General features: G+C 37.4%; 1 protein-coding gene and 1 long non-coding RNA gene across 24 annotated transcripts in view; one reads left to right on the forward strand and one right to left on the reverse strand.

Annotated features, from left to right (window-relative positions):
• The window catches only part of DGKB (diacylglycerol kinase beta), an 829,810-nt gene that overhangs the window by 219,483 nt on the left and 587,933 nt on the right, over positions 1–22,394 (reverse strand). The gene's annotated exons all lie outside the window — the stretch shown is intronic.
• Positions 11,224–22,280, forward strand: LOC105375164 (uncharacterized). Of its 2 annotated transcripts, none has more exons than XR_927053.3 (3): positions 11,224–11,325; positions 16,267–16,470; positions 18,218–18,631. It is a non-coding gene; the product is annotated as an uncharacterized LOC105375164 (long non-coding RNA). The 2 variants fall into 2 exon arrangements; XR_001745100.2 differs by lacking the exon at positions 11,224–11,325 and adding an exon at positions 12,368–12,481 and having other exon boundaries at positions 18,218–22,280.

Consider the following 22,394-nt stretch of genomic DNA (forward strand, 5'->3'; position numbering starts at 1 on the left):
AATCTATCATCTTGCTAATACTTAGGTAAAATCATTTTCATTGTAGCACATAATATATATTAATAAGCTACTAGACTTTTTCTAATATTCTACTTTCCTTTCCACTTTAGATTTAACAATCATATAATAATCACTGTTCTGCTTGCAAATGAATCATATGCAATAGTAAGGAAATAGCTAAGAGGGAGATGCCGCCCATGAGAGATTTAATCATAGGAAATGGCTGACTTTTTATTTCCAATAACCATCTGCACTCATGGTAAATCAGGTGCTAATGAAGCTCAGGCCCAGACTGCACAGGAGCATAAATCTCAAGAACCAAAAGTCGTGGAGCAACAGACCTCAGAAAAACAGAATTTTCTAAGGAAATGCACCAAAATTATCATATAGAAGGTCACCATCTGCAAACGTGTCACATAAGTGAATATATTTGGTAGGCCTAATACCACATTATGACACTGGCTGTAAACATCAAATCTCTACTTTTCTTTTGAAACTTACCACTTTCAAATATTATGATCACTTATGGTTTTTTACGTCCTCCTAGATAGTCAACATCTTGGGGGTAGGGGCTCTTCATTCCAGTTTAATTTTTATCGCCTCCACAGTGGTTTGTCCTTATAAGTACTTGATATTTGGAGAATGAATAATGAGAATAAATTTATTAATTGTGGAATCCTACTTTTAGGGCAGAAAAGTTTTGCAGAATTTTTTTCTCCAGTGGAGGAGGAAGCCAAGTCTTAATGCAGTAGAATTTGTACCAGAATTTGTCTTCTGAGAGTCAATAAATGTACCTATATCTTCTAAGAGTTTTTGTCTCTCAGTAATTATAATCCTTAACTTCACGTCTTGCTCACTCATTGTTGGAGTGATATATGTAAAAGAATCAGAACAGAGTTAGAAGGAGAAGGGACAGCCCAGAACCGACAGTATAAATTCAAATCCTGTCACAAAATGATGCAAGTCTAAGGACTTGACAAAATAATTTCCTTTTTCTATACGCTAGTATAATACATAGATCATATCTATCTCGTAATTATTAATCATTATATTTTTAGCCACTGGCAAATCATATCAAAGCAAAGACCTGGTAAAGAAGAGGTATGATATCTCTATTAACTCTTGAACCAACCTAAGTTCTATACCATGCCACACTTCACTTAGCCTCATTATTCTCTACTTGTTTCCATGAATGCAGAAATCTTAGTCAAGTGTTAATAAGCCTTTTATTTTCATTTGTTTTCTGTAAAAAAATATAATTAGCACAAAAAAGAAATCTGGTTGCTAGAGCCAATTAGTCTGTAAATAGCTTTATAAATTGTATTAGGTAAATATTAATACTTAGAGCAGCAGTTTTTAATTTTCTGTGGATCACAGATACTTGAAGAATTTGATGACAGGTGTGAACCGTCTGCCCTGATATAAACACATGATATATATGTGCAGAAATATGGCTAAAATTTCAGGAGTTTTACAGTCTTGAAATCCATTAATAGTACCCAGGACTGTGTAAATCCAGGTCAGAATTTCTGACTATAGTTGTATTTGCAAACTGAGAAATTAACAAAGATCTTAGGTGGAATTCATCATACATAACAGACTTTAGATGTAGACTGTTTTTTATTTCTTATCCAAAAAGTTAATCAATACCAGAGTTTATCATGCTAGATTACAATTTTAAACTGTGTTTTCATATATCCACATGAAATCCACATAAAACAAAATAATGAATCTTTTCATTTAAAACTGAGAAGACAGACAAATTTTACCATTCAGTGTATATTTCTGGACATGATATATAGAGTTGTATTCAGGTAATGTTATGCAGTACTAATCAGAATTCACAAAATTAGAGTTGCTTACATCTGATGAGTGGGTTTTAACCCTCAGAAGCTAGTTAATGCATACTCCTGCCCCAGGCAAACTGACATTGCTGTATCCTGAATGTGTTGGCATTTGACCTATGGGAAGCTAACATGCTGTTAGTGAGAGGAACATGTGTATGCGCATCCTACAACACATTACTTTCACATTTACTGCTTTCTTCTCTTTCATTTATCTTAATACATGACAAAAAAATTGACAAATCTTTGTTTCGTAATGCAAATTATTGCACCTGAAGCCAAATCCAATCGATTCTCAATTCAACACATAAGATGAACTGAGAAGGGATTTTATGGCATCTAATATTATAATTAGGCATGTTTTTAAAGAAAAATTAATATTAAATATAGATGCTAGTAAAAGCTAAGTATCAGATTTGAGCTTCAATTTTCTTCAAAGATTTTCTCTGCAAAGGAACATACGTTCTTAATTATATACTTTATTGTGTCAAAATTGTAGAAAATTAATTAATAACAAAATACGAAGAAACCTATAACTTGCGTTATAGCCTGTAGTGTAAGGACAATGGTCTCCAATTTACATGGCTCAACTTGTGATTTTCATAGTCTACAATGGTGTGAAAGCAGTGCACATTCAACAAACACTACACTTCAGGTTTTGAATTTTGATCCTTTCCCAGGCTAGAGACATGCGGTGCAATACTCTCTTGCGATGCCAGGCAGTAGCAGTGAACCTCAGCTCCCAGCCACGCTATCTTGAGGGTAAACAAATGATAGTCTATAGTGTACTGTGTTTCCAGATAATCTTGCCCAACTGTAGGCTAATGTAAGTGTTCTGAGCATGTTTAAGGCAGGCTAGGTGATATGGTTTGGCTGTGTCCTCACCCAAATCTCATCTTGAATTGTAGCTCCCGTAATTCCCATGTGTGGTGAGAGGGATCCAGTGACAGGCAATTGAATCATGAGGGCGGGTTTTTTCCCATGCTGTTCTCCTGTTAATGAATAAGTCTCACGAGATCTGATGGTTTCATAAAGGGGAGATCCCCTGCACACACTCTTGCCTGATGCCATGTAAGATGTTCCTTTGCTCTTCCTTCACTTTCCGCCACGGTCGTGAGGCCTCCCCAGCCACATGGAACTGTGAGTCCATTAAACCTCTTTCCTTTGTAAATTACCCAGTCTCAGGTATGTCTTTATTAGCAGTATGAGAATGGACTAATACACTAGGCTAAGCTACGATGCTTATATGATGTTAGGTATATTATATTAGTCTGTTTTCACACTGCTCTTAAGAAATACCCAAGACTGGGTAATTTATAAAGGAAAGAGGTTTAATGGACTCACAGTTCCACATGGCTTGGAAGAAACTTATAATCATGGTGGAAAGGTGAAAGGGAAGCAAGCACCTTTGTCACAGGGTGGCAGGAGAGACAGAACAGGGGAAACTGCCAAACACTGTTAAAACTTCAGATCTCGTGAGGACTCACTATCACCAGAACAGCATGGGAGAAACCACCAGCATGATCCATTCACCGCCCACCAGGTTCCTACTTGATACGTGGGGATTATGGGGATTACAATTTGAGATGAGATTTGGGTGGGGACACAGAGCAAAACCATATCATATATTAAATGCATTTTTGACATGATATTTTCTTTTTTTAATTTTAATTTTTAAATAGAATTCATTTTATTTGGAGCAGTTCTAGGTTCACAGCAAAATTGTGCAGAACATATATAGAGTTCCCATATACTCCCTACCCCCACATATGCACAGTCCCCCCACCATCAAAACCTTATACCAGAGTGGTACGTTTATTATAATTGATGGACCTACACTGACACATAATTATCACCCCAAATCCAGAGTTTTCATTAGAGTTCACTCTTGGTGTTATACATTCTGTGGGTTTTGATAACTGTATAATGACAGGTATTCACCTTTATAGTATCACACAGAATAATTTCACTGCTTTAAAAATCCTCTGTGTTCCACCAACTCATCCAGATTTTTTTAGGGTGATTTTATGAATCAAATGAGATATAGGTAAAGTATTTAGCACTAGGCGTGGCACACAGAAAGTGCCCACTAACAATAGCCAACATTAGCATTAATCATCAGCTTGAGTTGACTGGTAAGAGCTAAAAGTAAATGGTTGCAACAGAAATGAAGAAACAGATGCAAACGGTATTTTCTCTGTGTGTGTGTGTGTGTGTGTGTGTATGAAAAAGGTAGTGTATGTAAATACACAAACAGATATAAAGAAAAAGAGGTAACACAGAAAACACTACGACAAAGTTACTGAATACATGTGGGAGAGAGAGAAAAAAAGCTAAGTGCAAAGAATCAAGCCTTGTATGTTAGTTTTTACTCAATGAGATGCAACCCAAATGTGATTAGATACGCAAGATAATTTATTAGGGAAAACGCTTGTGAGGGAAAAGTAGGTAGGCACAGGAAGAGCCCGGGAGAGCCCTCAGACCATCATGCAGATCCGATTTCTGTGAAAGAGAAAGAGAAAGAAGTTCTGGACAGTGGTGCTGTGTTTTGTTGTTGTTTTTGTTTTTCAATTTCTGGGATACATGTGCAGAAGGTGCAGGTTTGTTACATAGGTATACATGTGCCATGGTGGTTTGCTGCACTCATCAACCCCCCATCTACATTTGGTATTTCTCCTAATGCTATCCCTCCCCTAGCACCCCACCCCCGACAGACCCCAGTGTGTGATGTTTCCCTCCCTGTGTCCATGTATTCTCATTGTTTAACTCCCAATTATGAGTGAGAACATGCGGTGTTTGATTTTCTGTTCCTGTGTTAGTTTTCTGAGAATGATGATTTCCAGCTTCATCCATGTCCCTGCAAAGGACATAAACTCATCCTTTTTCGTGGCTGCATAGTATTCCATGGTGTATATGGGCCATATTTTCTTTATCCAGTCTATCATTGATGGGCATTTGGGTTGGTTTCAAGTCTTTGCTATTGTGAACAGTGCTGCAATAAACATATGTGTGCATGTGTGTTTATAGTAGAATGATTTATAATCCTTTGAGTATATACCTAGTAGTGGGATTACTGGGTCAAATGGTATTTCTGGTTCTAGATCGTTGAGGAATTGCCACATTGTCTTCCACAGTGGTTGAACTAATTTACACTCCCACCAATATTGTAAAAGTGTTCCTATTTCTCCACATCCTCTCCAGCATCTGTTGCTTCCTGACTATTTAATGATCGCCATTCTAACTGGCATGAGATGGTATCCCATTGTGGTTTTGATTTGCATTTCTGTAATGACCAGTGATGATTATCTTTTTTTATATGTTTGTTGGCCACATAAATGTCCTCTTTTGAGAAGTGTCTGTTCATATCCTTCATCCACTTTTTGATGTGGTTGTTTGTTTTTTTCTAGTAAATTCGTTTAAGTTCCTTGTAGATTCTGGATATCAGCCATTTGTCAGATGGATAGACTGCAGAAATTTTATCCCATTCTGTAAAATTATGTAAATGCACACATATCTATCTGAAAAGAACTATCTGATTATAGTTTCTTTTGCTGTGCAGAAGCTGTTTCATTTCATTAGATCCCATTTGTCAATTTTGGCTTCTGTTGCCATTGCTTTTGGTGTTTTAGTCGTGAAGGCTTTGTCCATGCCTATGTTCTGAATGGTATTGCCTAGGTTTTCTTCTAGGGCTTTTATGGTTTTAGGTCTTATGTTTAAGTCTTTAATCCATCTTGAGTTAATTTTTGTATAAGGTGTAAGGAAGGGGTCCAGTTTCAGTTTTCTGCATATGACCAGCCAGCTTTCCCAACACCATATATTAAATAGGGAATCCTTTCCCCATTCCTTGTTTTTGTCAGGTTTGTCAAAGATCAGATGGTTGTAGATGTGTGGCATTATTTCCGAGGCCTCTGTTGTGTTCCATTGGTCTATATATGCTGTTTTGGTTACTGTAGCCTTGTAGTATAGTTTGAAGTCAGGTAGTGTGATGCCTCTAGCTTTGTTATTTTTGCTTAGAATTGTCTGGGCTATAGGGGCTCTTTTTGGTTCCATATGAAATTTAAAGTGTTTTTTTCTAATTCTGTGAAGAAAGTCAGCGGTAGCTTGATGGAGATAACACTGAATCTATAAATTACTTTGGGCAGTATGGCCATTTTCATGATATTGATTCTTCCTATCCGTGAGCATGGAATGTTTTTCCATTTGTTTGTGTCTTCTCTTATTTTCTTGAGCAGTAGTTTGTAATTATCCTTGAAGAGGTCCTTCACTTCCCTTGTAAGTGAGTTTTAAAAGATAATTTCAACTTTTATTTTAGATTCAGGGAGGGCACGTGGATGTCTGTTACATGGGTATATTGCATGAAGCTGAAGTTTGAGATAAAAATGATCCTGTCACCCAGGTAGTGAGCATAGTACTCAATAGTTTTTCAACTCTTGTCCCTGATCTTCTCTCCATGTTCTAGTAGTCTCCAATGTCTATTGTTGCCATGTTTGTCCATGGGTACCCAATGTTTAGCTCTTACTTATAAGTGAGAACATGTGGTATTTGGTTTTCTGTTCCTCAGTTAATTTAGTTAGGACAATGACCTCCAGCTACATATATATTGCTGCAAATGACATGATTTCATTCTTTTTATCACTGCATAGTATTCCTTGGCATATATATATATAACACATTTTCTTGATCCAATCCACCACAGATGGGCACCTAGGTTGATTCCATGTCTTGGCTAGTGTGAATAGTGCTACAACGAACATATGAGTGCAGGTGTCTTTTTGGTAGAATCATTTATTTTCTTTTGGATATATACCCAGTAATGAGATTGCTGGGTTGAATGGTATTCTGTTTTAAGTTCTTTGAGAAATCTCCAAGCTGCTTTCCACAGTGGATGAACTAATTTACATTCCCACCAGCAGTGTATAAGCAAGCATTCCCTTTTCTCTGCAGCCTCACCAGCATCTGTTGCTTTTTGACTTTTTAATTATAGCCATTCTGATTGGTGTGAAATAGTATCTCACTGTGGTTTTGATTTGCATTTCTCTGATGATTAGTGATGTTGAGTAATTTTTCATGTTTGTTGGCAGCTTATATGGTTTCTTTTGAGAAGTGTTTGTTCATGTCTTTTGCTTGTTAAATAGTTTTGTTTTTTACTTGTTAAATTGTTTTGTTTCCTTATGTGTTCAAAATATTAGACCTTTGTCAGATGCATAGTTTGTAAATATTTTCTCCCATCCTGTATGTTGTCTATTTACTCCCATCCTGTAGGTTGATAGTTTCTTTTGCTAGGCAGAAGCTCTTTAGTTTAATTAGGTCCCACTTGATAATTTTTGCTTTTGTTGCCATCACCTTTGAGGACTGAGTCATAAATTCTTTCCCAAGGCCGATGTTTCCTAGATTTCCTTCTAGGATTCTTATAGTTTGAAATTTTACATTGACATTACTTAGCAATGAGGGAGAGCACAATTCCAGCACCTACTGCTGAGGTATTTTCCACAGTTCTGGCTGTGGAGGCTCCTACTTCACTCCAGAGCAGGCATGCCAATCTCTGGCATGAGACTAAAATGCCTCCATGGCCATGCTGCTGGGTCTCCAAAGAATGACTGACTTTGTATGCACCTGGATTAAAAATGGCCTCCTGCTCTTGGTCCCAAGTCTGGGAAAATGTCTGCAGCTTTTCCAAGTGCCTTTCTCTTTCAGCGCCTCCAAGCCTCTCTCCAAGGCAGTTCCAGTGCTCAGGAGAAACAAAATGCTCTTCCTTGGTCTAGGTTGCTCAGATCTTCAGTGGAAATGTGAGTCACAGAGGGAGACTCTCTGTCCCTCTCACCTACCCGGGCTTCAATCACGTTTATCAGCCAGATGCTACCACGGGAGCTGTCTGCCAACAACCCCGGGAACTGGGGTGTCCTTCATGGTTCTGGTTGATTCCTTTTTTCCTTCTTGAATTAAAGCTCACATAGTTGATCTTTATGTACTATCCTGCTACCTCCAAGTGGCTGAGGCAAGCTACCTCTAATCTGCCATCTTGGGAGTGCGTAGTGGGGGGAACTATATTTTTAATTTATGGTGGGTTTATGGTGAACTTAACCTCATCATAAGTTGAGGAGCACATGTACATCACTTGTGACAACAAGTAGCTGACAAGTGAAAGAAACACATGGCAAAGTACCACCTTGATAAATATCTTTACATCCTTTGACTTGGCTGCTACTTGCTTTTTGATATCTTTATCATTATGAGAGATGTGTATAACAGAAAGAATTACAGATGATGATTTCTTAAAGTGATTAGTTACTAAATATAAATTATATTTATATTTATTAATCTATACTCTTATCTACTCACCTTGTTTTAGGGGCTCATATACTTTCCTGGAAAACTATATATAAATAGTATAAATGGCTATTTTTTCAAACATTTTAGCTCTAGAAGGATTTATTCAAGTTTATCCATTGAATCTGCCCATCCATATCTGTTTTACTTCTTTAGTCCTACTAATTATCCAGTTTATTATTACCTTGATTATTGAATCAATGCAATCTGACAAATATTTCCATTTTCCCCTTCTGGGAGCAAGGTGGGAGTATATCTCCTGGCCATTTTATGGAGGGGATAAGGCCACAACTCTACGTTTGATCCATAAGGTGTTAGGAAACATGATGTGGGTAATTTCAAGTCTGGAATAGTTAATTGCCCACATGAGATTCACTGGAATTCTCTTTCCTTCTTGCACATTGAATGACAAAATTCGAGTTAACGGCCACTGTGTCATCTTGGACCCTTGAATAAATACAGAAACAGAGCTCTGCAACCCCTGCAAATAATTTGGAACATGACAGAGAATAATTCTTTGTGGATTTAAGTCATTGTTATTTTGGGGCTGTTTGTTACCTTGGTGTAACGCTTCCTAACATGTTTAAAACATTCACTAATGTGTCTTTTCAAATACAGTTGTTCCACTTCCAAATTATTCTTCAGAAAGGAACCACATTTTTGTTTGTTTCTATTTGTGAAACAGTAACTGTTGTATTGCATAAAAATGACAGAAAGATGCCATCATAAAGTAAATAAAATTTTAAAATTTGTCTTACATTTATTCCGTACAGTGAGTTCTTTGCCAAAAATAAAATCTGAGTTCAGTAATTAAAATGCTAGTCTCATCAAAGCTCTGAATCTAATTTAAAGTTGAGATTACTTCCCTGCCTTAGCTATTGGCTGATGCAAGAATAAAGCCCATGAAAAAGAAAGGGAAGGGACAACTTCTTCACTCATTTCTCACCTAGGACTTCTTTTCTCCTGCTCTATCTTGGCTATCCATATTCTCTGACTCCTCCAATTCAGAACAAGCAGTAGAAGAGGTAAGGAGAGAAGGGATAGTTCTTCCTTGAGTGGTACCATGGTAGATGACTCCCACTAGTATTTTCTACTTTTTCCATATTTTAAAATTCATTTTCTGATGGGCCCGTGCTTTCATTTTTTCATTTTTCATTTTTTCATTTTTCTGAGATTTCTCCCTATCCTTTACACCCAACCAGTCCGCTGACATAGTCAAGTGCATGTTTTGAGTTTATCCTTATCCCCTAGGCATCTGCCAATTTAATTCTCATTTCCTCTGCTGAGGTCCCCTTGCCCTTCCTGAAAGATCTAAGACAGTCACAGAGCAGCTCATGCTCTCCTCTTCTCTTCTCCTCTTCCAATCTCTCTCTCTAGCCCACATGCTGAATTTCACCCTGGCAAACTCAGGGTCCACAACACTTCCCGAACTGCAATCCCCTACTCTACTATCAATAGCTCCCCAACCTTTACTTGCTCATATGTGACTCATACTTGATGACCTACAAAGCAGTGGATACTAAGACCTCCAAGCGAGACATTAAACCTCCTCTTTTGACTTTGGTTTAGGAGGGGTTACCCCACTGGGAGCGATGAAGTGGACCTGACAGCATATCTCCCTCCAGAGACACCTCTTAAAAACCTTTCCCCTCTCCCCATGGGCGCTCTTCCATATTTTTGGTTTGATAGAGTGCTTTAACAGTCCTCAAACTGGTTCTGCATTAGCATCTCTCTTTGCAATGTGCCTCAGCTGAAACTTCCATTAGAATCATTTGCAAACAGAAATCAAGTCTTGCCAACTCCACCTGTCTCCTATACCCTCACCACCAGCCCCCGCACACATTCTGATAAAAAGCCTTCAGAGACTTCATTTGAATTTAGGATTAAAATCTAATTAAATCCTACATGATCTAAATTCTGCCTGTCTTAACAACCCTTTGGTATGATAATAAGAGCTAGTCGCATGAGTCTCCTGTTTCTCTTATGAAAGAACTCTCTTGCCGTACAGCAGGGTTTCTCAATCTCAATACTATTTACATTGATTGGGCAGATACCTCTTTGTTATAAGGCACTGTCCTGTGCATTGTAGGATGTTTAGCAGTATCCCTGGCCTCTATCAACTATATGTGATTACTACCCCCAACCTTGTCGTGACAATCAAAAATGCCTCCAGATATTGCCGAATGTCTCCTGAGGAGGGCACAGATTGTCCGTCTGTTGCCTTAGAAACTTCATATGTGATATTCCCTCTGTCTCAAAGTCTATCTTGCTCATTCTCTACCTAAAAATTTCCTACTCATCTTTATCCCTGAATGAGTTTCCAAAACTAAGTCAGTTCTTCTGGTGATAAAGCATCTCAACATTACTTTTCCTTTGTAGCTACACAGGTGGTTTACAACCTCCCTCTCTCCGCCTCCCACAGAGATACTTTTGGAGCATTGGTTTATGGCATATGCCACATACCCAGGCCACTACAACAGGATGAGGCCTTTATAATGCAACTGAAGGCTGAGGAAACACCCAGACCTCGTTGGAGAAGCTTCCAGGCAGTGTAACAGTTTTAATTTTCTCTTTTCTCTTTTAGATATGTCATTGGCTGAATCAAAAGCCTTTGCTGATGTTTCTTTTGTGAGTAGAATGGATGAAACTGAGTGAGAGATAATAATAAGAGCTAAGAGGTAATGAACATGTACTATGTGCTTTACATAAAATAATACATTCAGTCCTCACAATGAATTAGCACTAGCTAGCTTCATCTGACAAAAGACAAAATCACAATTCAGAGAGAATAAAGTATTCATTTCAGATCAGGTATTGGCTTCATAGATCTGCCTTGATTCTTCATAACTGCTGTTCCCTCTGCTGGGAAGTTTCTTCCCCCTATTAACCACATGCCTTTCCTCCTCACCTTCCAGGTCTCTCTTCGAATGTCACCTTCTCAGGTAGGATTTCTTGAGTGCTCTATTTAAAATTATAAATAGATGCCTCACGCTGGCATTTCCTGCTTTGCTTTCTTCGATAGCACTTCCTGCCATCTGAAATGCTGCTGTTTTACTTTGATTGCCTCTCTCCTCTGAAAGACTGGAAGTTCTTCGAGGGCAGTGATTTTCTTGCAAGGCTAAATCCTCAGTACCTGAAACATGCTTCACACTTGGTGAGTTCACCATAAACATTTGTTGAATAAAGGATGAGTAAATTTCAATCCTCTACATGAAGGTCTTAGTATTTGAACTAGGCATACAGTCTTGGGGTGAAATGTTGGTTCAAACTTGTTTCAAGAATGCTTTCATTTTAGTTTTCTAGAAACAAGAATACTGACCATGCAAATTGTATACAGGTAATCCAGGGTACATACAGATAATCCAGGGTAAAAGAGACTAGAAGTGACTCTCTCCTGCCTCCATAGTTAATTTCTAGAGAGGAAGGCCCTGAGGCAGAAAGCAGGTAGACAACCAGCTTGCACTTGTGTTGGTGGCCTGTCAGCCAGGGTTGAGTTTGACCTGGCCCGAGGCACCCACAGCAGCTGTGGCCAAAATCAGACTGGGCCAAGAGAATTTTTCATGGTTCACCAAGATCACCTGCTGTGATAATCTACCCTGGTAACATTTTATATTTCTGAAAATTCGCCTTAATTTATATAAGTAACCTAAATCCATCATGCTGTTTTTAAAATACATTTTCTATCCTTCTTGTCTCAGAAATTATAGAAACAGATGTATACTCTCATCACAAAAATAACCTTACATCAGATGAAAATTTTACTAGGTCATGCCCCCAAAATTAACAAAGTTACTAACTATGCAATTTTTCATTTTATATTAAATCATACGAATAATTTTCCTATCTCCCTAAACCCATTAAAAGTCCAGTACTTTATAGCAGAGATGACATTGAATGATTCACAAATTAATGAAACCATTGTTACAGTGCTTTAAATTTTAGGAACTAGAATTATAAAAACCTTATAAAACCATGACTCCCCCCAGCCCCTTCAGTAGCACATGTGTTGCCTGTTTGAATACTAAACGTGTGAGAAGCCATTTTATGAACACTTTGCACTAAATAACTTTTCTAGGATGAATAAGGGTGCCTAGATATTTCCACAGAGGCAGATTAGTGACATTCAAATTGTAATCTTGTTCCTCGAAGCAGAAGTAAGCTTTTCTATAAAGGACCCAACTTGAAAGGGAAATTTTGCTGACAGTGAGAGTTTGAGTTTCAGTCCCTAAAGCCAGGGGCAAGTTTTTCAAGAGACCCATACTGCAAGGCCACATTGTGGACTATGTAACTTCAGCTAATTTCTTGGAAATGTGAGTATAATTGTCTCTGCATTTTACATATTTAAGTGATATGATGTGACAGCATCTGGGTTATAGGATGGGGGGTTCTGAACCATGAGAACCCCTAAATTTGAGACCGTTTTGTGTCAGGATATTCTGAGCTCTGTCTCAAGGGATTTTTTCCTCTGACCCACAGTGCAGAATTGTTTCCTGATTAGGCTGTTTCAAAGCTAAAAGGGACAAAAATAGGGCTGAGCAGCCAGCCAGCCAAATGTACCTTTTATAAATCTATCTCTAAACTTGTAGAGAACTCTAACAATGGTTTCATTAATTTAACAATCACTCAATGTCATATCTATTATAATGTACTAAGCTCTTAAGAGAGAAAGAAAAAAGAAAATTGTTTTATTCCCGTGATTTAATTTAAAATGAAAAATTGCATTGATGGTAGTCTTGTTAAACTTTTTTTGATTTGCTTTATGATTTAAAGTATGGACTTTCTTTTCTTGAGGGCCATGCTTCTGTCTTCTATTTTAAAACTTCTAAATAATCATTCTTATCTTCTAGGACAGGTATGAAAACACTTGATAAGTGATTTTAATAAAAACATATACTGTGTACTTGTAACTTGGTAACAAACGCAGCCAAAAAGGTTGCATATTGAAACAGTGTATATCCAAACCGTATACCTAGCTTGGCCCCCAAGATGCCTGTGGGAACAATGAAATACCCTGACTGATCCCCATTGCTCACCATGTAGCTTACTTTGGCTAGATCACTTTCCTGGGTCCCTGGGATCTTCCTGGGATTCTTGCCAAATCCAGTTTCCAGTTCCCAGGGTAGGTTATACTCCTTTTGCACAGTTCTTCACAGCCGTGGTTTGGGATTGTCCCATCAAAGACTCTTTGTGGACAATATAATACTCTCCCTTTCTCAGAGAGCTCCTTTGATAATGTCCTAAAACTTCTGTCTTTCTAATCCACAAAGGATTTTTCCTAGGTTCAGAATTTTCTGGATCTGCTAGCCTACTAAAATCCCCCTGTGATTCTGGAGTATAGTAGAAACATCAGAGTTACTTAGTCAGACATTCTTGAAATAGATTAGACTTTACCAGGGGTGACTGAGCCAAAATTGTTACATTTCGTAACCATGAAAATGAAAGACTTCCACTGAAAGCAGGACATATTGGAAGACAAATGCATTTGATTCTAGGCTCATGGGGTCCCTTTTTTCTGCTACTAATTTTGAAGTTGACCTCTTTACGAACATTGATTCTCTTTTGAGATCCAGTCATTTCAAGGGGAAGAGAAGATGATATTCTAATCCATTTGCCCACATAAACAGAGTCAAAAAGCACGATAATATTAATTTCTTGGTTTTGAATATTCATTTTTAGTTTGAAAAGTGTATCATGATTATGTAAGATGCTAACTTTAGGGAAAAGTAGATAAAATGGATTCAGTTTATCTATGGAACATCTTTGTAAACTTTCTGTAAATCTAAAGTTATTCCAAAATAAAAAATTTATTTAAAAAATTTGTGGATGATAGAAGGGGACCTCAGTGATTCAAAAAGTCACTTAAATCCCAGAGAATGATACAATCAATATTTGTAGAGGATAGAAAATGATCCAACACCTCTCCTAGCTACATTGATAATTAATTTGCATTAGAGACTGACATCAAATGCCTCAGCCTATATATGTTTCTGTGTAAAACACTCAGAATTAGAAGGAGGTCTGCAGCAGGACATATACTGAAAACTTAAAATTCAAAATGTGCAGAAAGTCCCTTATTTTAAATCAACAGTGTACTTAAAAATATTTACCTACTCATTTTCTTCAGGCTTCCTTTATACTAGATGATTATGCAAATAGAATTTAAAAGGGAAAAAACAATCTATGTTTTTGCTCTTGTCCATTATAAATATTTACGCATTTTGGTGAAGCAGGAAAGTGGTTGTTAGCAAAACTGATTTGGATGGATAGGAGGAAATTTTGATTAAAAATAAAGTAAAGCATAATGAGATTGGGGAAAATGTCATCTGAGGAAAAAAATCTCATTTTTTTTTTCAGTTTTTACCAACATCCTTTTTTGAGAGTACTGCAGACAATTATGTCACATACACATTTTTAAGACTTTTTCCCATTACACTAGACTTCTTCATTTTCTAAATTTGTTATTTGTAAATGGAATTCATTTCTCTGGCTTCATTTTCTTGTCTCATTATGCTGAATTCAGCGAGTGTTTGTTTTGAAACCCTCTTTAAATAAGAGCTCCCATTTCTTTTCATCATCTGTAAGTTCTTAACCATGTACAAAATCATTTTTGTTGAACCAACTTTCCAGTTCACGCACCACTGCTACTAGAAATTCTAGGATGAAATCCATCATTAGGCGACTCAAAGAAATTATGGAGTTTTTTTTTTTTTTTTTTTCCACTTTCTGTTTCTTGCTAGTTATTGAGAAATTTGGTGATTCAGAGAATAAGGAAAGAGAGTGGGGAGCGCTCTGACTAGTGTCTAGTAACCCCTTAGTGGATGACTTCAGCTGGCTTTAAGCAATTGCTTTTTTTATTTTATTTTTTATTGTTTTTTGAGATGGAGTCTTACTCTGCGGCCCAGGCTGGAGTGCAGTGGCACGATCTCGGCTCACTGCAACCTCCGCCTCCCAGGTTCAAGCAATTCTCCTCTCTCAGCCTCCTGAGTAGCTGGGATTACAGGCACGTGCCACCACGCCAGCTAATTTTTTGTATTTTTAGTAGTGACGGGGTTTCACCGTGTTAGCGAGGATGGTCTTGATCTCCTGACCTCGTGATCTGCCCGCCTCGGCCTCCCAAAGTGTTGGGATTACAGGCGTGAGCGAGCGGGCCCGGCCTTAAGCAGTTGCTTTTAATACAATAATTCCTCTCCCAAAGTGTTGGGATTACAGGCGTGAGCGAGCGGGCCCGGCCTTAAGCAGTTGCTTTTAATACAATAATTCCTCTTCTAAATTCACTGTGAGGCTGCAGTCAGGAATTGGTTTTGGTAATTGTAAAGTCCAGCTGAAGTGCTGGTGGAAACTCTATACTAATAAGTGCTTGGCAATTATAGTTATGTCCCCATTGAAGTGATCCAATACATGTTGCGTACTTCGCTATATCCAAAACTGGCAGAAATTTGTCTTCAGTGATTAAAACAGTTATCACTGCCCAGCCCTAAAAGATTTATAAACACTGTATACATTTAGAAACCCCTTTTCAATCTAAAAATAAATATATAAATAAATAAATAATAAAAATAAAAATAAACAATGGCAGCATGTTTTTAATTATGCCTAATTGAAAAAGGAATAAAATCATTTGGAAGTTAGGTGAAGAAAAGAGGATGAAAAGTCTGATAATCAGTGGTTATTCTAAAGAAAATAAAATTCTTCTCAATGTAAATCATATAAACATACCAGAGTGCTTTAAAAATACAGTTAAATAATCACATTGTTTTACTGTTTTGGCAAAAGTTCCATTTAGCATAGAAAATAAATATCACTCATATTGTTTTCATTTTGCTTTATGTGTTCAAATAGGATATATACCAGCTCTACACATCATCCAAATATATAATTATGTGGTTAATTATCACAACATAGTGTTATTCTTATTAACTTTAAATATTTTGTGATTATTAGAAAACAAATTTAATAATAAGGAGTATTCATTGCTTTCATCACACATTGATTAAATATGTTTTTCTGAGGGTCTGTTGAGTGCAAAGAATTGTGCTGTAATAGTATATATTTTTTCCAATTTTTCTTTCTAACTGTTGATTTCTTATTTCCTTAGCAATCAAAGCATATGGACTATATTTTAATTCTACAGACATTGCGTTAGGCAGAACAGCTACCAACACCCAATCCCTGAAATTTGTGATTATGTTTTGATACATGGCAAAAGGAACTATGCAGATGTAATTAAGGTTAAGAACTTTAAAATAGGAAGATTAAATCCAAGGAGTTCTTCAAAGTAAAGAACTACTACATGCAGAAGGTATGTGCTGCCTGGGGCACCTCGTAGTTGGAAGGAAGGCTCCTCACAGTGCATGATGGAGCTGTGGGCGGGAAAACAAGAGAGAAGGCCATTGGCTGAGAGCTCAGGGGCTCGTTCTCTCTGTGCTGCCATCTCTAGGTGAGAAACTCCAGTGTTGGAACCTGGCCTTCAATGTTGTCATGCCAAGGTAATCAATAAGGTAGAGCCTCTTTTATTTAATGCCAATAAGCAAGTAGGTCAGGGTGATTTAAAACTTTTTAAAATACATAGGAATGTGCTATGTGGGTCTCCATTTGTACTTTTGCTCCAGGTCCTGACAATTTCAGTCATAGGCCTGAGATAATAATTTGAATAACGGACTTATTGAAGGCTTAGTGAATGTCCTCTGTGTGTTGGATATCATGCAGACTGCTTGGCATGTACTATTTTTTTAAGTTCAGATAACAATTCTTTGAGGTAGGAATAATGTGTGTACATATTTTAGAGATGAGTAAATGACATTACAGGAGTAGAGTGATCTAACTAATGAATCTTACCAAAGAAAAGCATTCCTGTGAAATCTGTGTGACTAAAGGGAGGGTAGAAATAGTTGTCTTCCCCAGTTTCCTCTTGCTTTGTCTATTTTCTTTAGAGATGCCCAGGCTGGAGTGCAGTGGCTATCCACAGGCGTGATCATATTGAACTGCAGCCTTGCACTCGTGGGCTCAAGTGCATCTACCTGCCTCAGCTTCTCCAGTAGCTGGAACTACAGGTGCAGGCCACTGTGCCCAGCTTCCTCCTGTCTCTAGCCACACTGTAATCACAAATCACAAAAGTTTTCTTAAATTATATTGGTCCCAGAGGAATAGTAATGATATTTGCTACAGTTTCAGTTTCCATCTGTACTTAAGGAGGAATAGCACCCAAACTCAGCAAGCAACCCAGAGCTCTAGTTCTTGATTCTGCAAAGTTTTTGTTATAGTAAAATCTTTTGTTTTGTCAGTATGACTTCTTTTTGGAGTCTGAGTTATGCATTTGACATGAATTCAAGTTCAGTTATCATTCATCTCCTTTGTATTTACACAAATCAATTAAGTCTAAACTGCAAATAGTTTTTGTCTCAGGTTCACCTCTGATAGGCTGGTAGCAGCTGTCTGGATAGTCCCGCCAAGAAGGATCGAGTAGCTGCATGTAGATGCAGTAAGAAAGAGCACAATTAGAAGAGGAGACTGGGGATATGCCTACCATGAATTTCTTATCCGTAATCAGTAGAGCCCAGCCCTTGTGCACAGATATACAAACAGTGGCAATTTTTTTTTTTGTCCACCAAAGGATTATTCAACAAGGCACATACAACCTATAGAGAGGAAGATGCCTCTCTATTCACTCAAATACATAGTTTTTTTTTTTTTGCATTTCCAATTATCTATTGCTAATAATCTTTTCAGTGCTTACATATGTGCATGCCTGTACACACACACACACACAGACACATACACACATATATCCTAAAGTTTGTGAAACTATAGTTTGCCTTATGGAAGGAAAACACTTGATCCTATTCACAGGGGTAATTTTTAGACATCTCTATTCATAGGTATAACCAGCTTAGAAAATTTACTGCTGTATTAAGGGTCAGAATAGCAACTCACAGGAAATTGAACATTTGGAGAACCCAATAGGTAACTTTTAAGAGAGAAGTATTTATGATATGAAGGAACATAAAAGTTTTGTTTTTACTCCCTTTGGTTTTCTTCTGTAATTCTAGATTGGGAAGAAATAACAGAGAGTGCTTGAAGAATAGATGTGGCTAGGACAATATCTCTGAATCTCTGAATGGCCCATGGTGGTGACCCCCAGCCAGAGTGAACTGTGCAGCAGCAATGGTGCCCAGTGGGCAGCAACAGTGGAACAGAAGGTGAGGAAGGGGCCAGAAGGAATCCTTTAGGAAATTAAGAAAAGGATAAAAATATGATAAAAATGTGGTGTCCAGGCGAGAAACGGAATAACCTCATCCCTGTTCTGACTAACAATTTGGTAATATTTTGACAGTTTTGAACAAGAACTTCCTTCTCCTTTTCTTTTGGAGTACACCATAGTGAAAGACCTATGGTAAAAAACAAGGTACAACTGGAATACTGCTTTTTGTTTTTCTATTTTCAATAGTATCTCCTGTTTATAATGGATTGTTTTAATCTCAGGGAAGAACATCTGAGGAGATCACCGGGTCTCTAAATACCAGTTCTTGTCTCTGCACACCTTTTTTAGGGGGGACTGATGCCTGGTTATATCTGCGGTACACCAGTTCCTAAAGCAATACCTAAGAAAGTCAATGTTTCCTAGATAAACTTGACTTTCATCAAATGATATTTAGAATCAGTTTTAAACTTGTAGAGTATTGCAATCAATTATGATCATATTTTGCAGCATATATCATGAAGTCCAAATCATTTTAGCTTAAAGAAAACAGACGTCTATTATTTTTTCACTTAGAGTAAGTCAGGAAGTGTGTAGTCTTATGTGTTGGCTTTCCAGTGTCATCAGGGGCCCAGATTCCTGTCTTTCTGCTCTGCCATCTCCAATGTGTGGTTTCTAACCTCATGATCCAAAGTGGGTTCTTTTGCTCCAGCCCGCGTATCAATGTACCAGGCCAGTAGAATGAAGAAACTAAGGAGAGCAAAAGGAGGCTCCTTCCTAACTGAGTCAACTTTCTTTAAGCATTTGTCCTGAAGGTCTCACACAATATTTTTGCATACGTCTCACAGGTCAAAACTTAGTTATGTGTCCACACAAAATTTCAGAAGAGGCTGGAAGGTGTTGTCTTTTAGCTGAATGCATTATCATCCTGGAATTCAAATCTGGGTTCTAATAGTAAGCGAGAAAGAGAGCGTGGTTATTAAGTGGTGTCATTTGGCACAGCCTGTCAACAGAGGACATGTTAATTGGCATTCATACTGATGTTTTAATAAAGCATGTAGTGTGCTTATGAGGACCAAGATTGACCATACTTTGGTCATCATCAATCATGGACTGAAAGGCTTTTAAACATGAGGTATGTACCGCCTAGCATTCAGTAACAACCCACTTAGTCATTCCTACCTTAATTTTAGGTGCATGATACCAAAATGTTAACATATTTGAGAAACAGTCCAAGCTAATTTAATTTACGTAAGTACATTTTTAGATAAGACAATGATAAATTTGAAAATCAGTTTGGTTTAATGATTGGTTAGTTAAAAATATATCAAATAAATAACTTTTTCTACCTTAGCATTTTTAAAATTCTGGACCTAAAATTATTACATTCTATTTAGGGCAAGGATTAGCAAAATACAGCTTACAGGCCAAGTTTGTCTTGACTTCCTTTTTTGTAAATAAAGTTTTTTTGAAACACAGTTACTCTCATATGGTTACATATTGTCAGTGGCTGCTTTCACTCTATATCGGCAGAACCGAGTAATTGTATTAGATACCCCCACCACTAAACCCAATGTGTTTACTATCTGGATTCATACAGACAATGTTTGCTGACCCCTGGCATAGGCAAAGCAAAATACATGACACAATGAATTTCCCTCATACTTAGAAGTTAGGGCCCACAGAACTCACCTGAAAAGTTGCTTAATAGTTACTTAATTATATAGCAGATTAATCAGTTTTTAACTTGATTCTGACGTTCCTAAAGAATGGCAAATTCCTTCCTAACACAAACTAAACCTTTACCTCCGTGGTTCTCAACTGGGGTCAATTGTGTCTGCCAGAGACATCTGGTAATATGTAGAGACCTTTTTAGTTGTCACAAGTTGGGGTTGGGAGGTGGCTGCCACTGGCATTTGATAGGCAGAGGCCAGGGGTGCTGCCAAACGTCCTACAATGCACAGGACCGCCACTCAACACAAGGAACTATCTGGCACAAAAGTCACTAGTGCTAAGACTGAGAAACTCCATGGTAAGTGAGAACTCCCTAGGACCGAATAGGTAGTTGTCAATAACAAAAAGGAGGAATTACTTTCCTTAAAGGTAAAAATAATTGTGGCATTCGGTAAAAATAATTGTGGCATTCTTTCTTGGTGGTGGAGGTTTTGCTGTACTCCTTCCTTGTTTTTATTCTCCGAATGAAAACACCATTTTTATCTGAATTAGTAGCTCAAAGTTTTCCATTAATCACCTCAAACGGACTGACACAGTGTTTCACACACAATGTCACGCATGCTGTATGCTAACTCCTGAGTTTTGTTCTGAGGGAGAAAAATGAATTCCATGGCCAAAAGTACTAGAGGAAGAACACTCATCATATCATCATCTGGGAGGTTCACTGTTTACCTCCAGGATATTAATGGCACTCAGAAGACTGGTGGTGAAGAAACCTAGGAACTGTAGAAATGTAAAACCTGATGAGGCTGCTATTTGTAGACTAGGTCCAGGGAAGATGTACTAGGTCAGAGGAGAAGATATCATGGCAGAATCTTCTAAACAGTTTTTCATGGATGACTTATTCATACATGGTCCTCAGACATGGTCCTCAGAGTGAAAAATAAAAGAATTCCTAAGTAAATGAATTTGGAGATTACTACCTTTTACAGAGTTTAACAAGTTCAATTATAGCAAAGGCTTTTAACCCTCTTTTTCTGTGTGTGATAAATCCCATTGGCAGTCGCAGATCTCTTCTCAAATTAATGTGATCAAATGCATAAAGCAAAATGTATAGGGTATCAAATAAATTGCATTGAAGTGTAATTAACAAAACAAAAATAAACTGGTGATATATGAATGTAAGCATCTCTTTATTATCACATTAAATAATAAGATCTAGCAGTAGGTCTACTAACTACCATACTTTTAAAGTAGTAGTGAGTACAAATAATATTTCAAGACAGCTGCAATAACGGTGATGTGATATGAAAACATCTGTCATTTTTGTTGGGGACAAAGTCACAAGTACTGCCAATATTACTACAGCTTGTTGTCTTCATTCAAACGGAAGAAAATGCTAAATTTCAGTGAAGTGAAAACTAAGGTTTAAACCATCGTAGAGCCTTTAAAATGTTATGTTACTTGTGAGTTTCCAGAAGTAATGGTTGTGGGACTTGTTTGAACTTATTTGAACATAGAAACTTTAATATATTTTGAAAAGATAATTTCACATGCCATGTGGGAAATGTTGCCTTGAGCTAGTGCTGTACGCCTGAAAGCTTCTAATGTAATGATGCAGTATTGCATTTATAATCATTGTTTTAAGCTAGCGTTTTCAAATCCAGTTCAGCTCCATGATAACAGCTGTTGTTTTCTTTACCGATGTATTTCACTTTCAGATATGATTTTTTAAAAATTTCTTTGAACTTCATACTTTTCTTAGCAAATATCTCCATTTAAATTCTCAGAATGAAAATAAAAATGAGTTGTCTCACACCTCTACACTTAGAAAATCTAGGCTGCCTGTGGCCCTTTGCCCTAACACGTGACTCCTGTATCATGTATGTATAACTCCCTTCTAATTAAGCAACCTCATTCATCAAGAAAGCCCTGCAGCGATAAGGTAATTTTTGCCACAGGAATGTGACACTACCATGTGCCAGTTGCTGAAATAGTTGCACAGATTTTAGTGAAATGCAAGAGATAAGTGAGTAAGAAAGTGAAAATTGTCAGCCCATAAATTACTGCTGCCCTCAGTCTACAGTAATTACAGCAAAGCTGTAGATAACTGTCCCTCTGATGAACTCTAGCAAAATGGTCTTTTAAGTTTATCAGCATATTCAGGTACAACTCTCTCAGGAGGCTTGGCCTCTTCTAAATGATCAAATATTCTGAGGGTGGGTGGCAGAAGGACAAAAGATGAGGAAAAAGGAAAGAGAAACATTATTTACATCAATTAAAGTAATTTTTAAGTTTATTCTTTTAAAATTATCTAGTAGAAGCCTTCTTTCTCACTTATGATTCCTTTAAAT

This window comes from Homo sapiens, chromosome 7, assembly GCF_000001405.40.
Source record: "Homo sapiens chromosome 7, GRCh38.p14 Primary Assembly".
Lineage (NCBI taxonomy): Eukaryota > Metazoa > Chordata > Mammalia > Primates > Hominidae > Homo > Homo sapiens.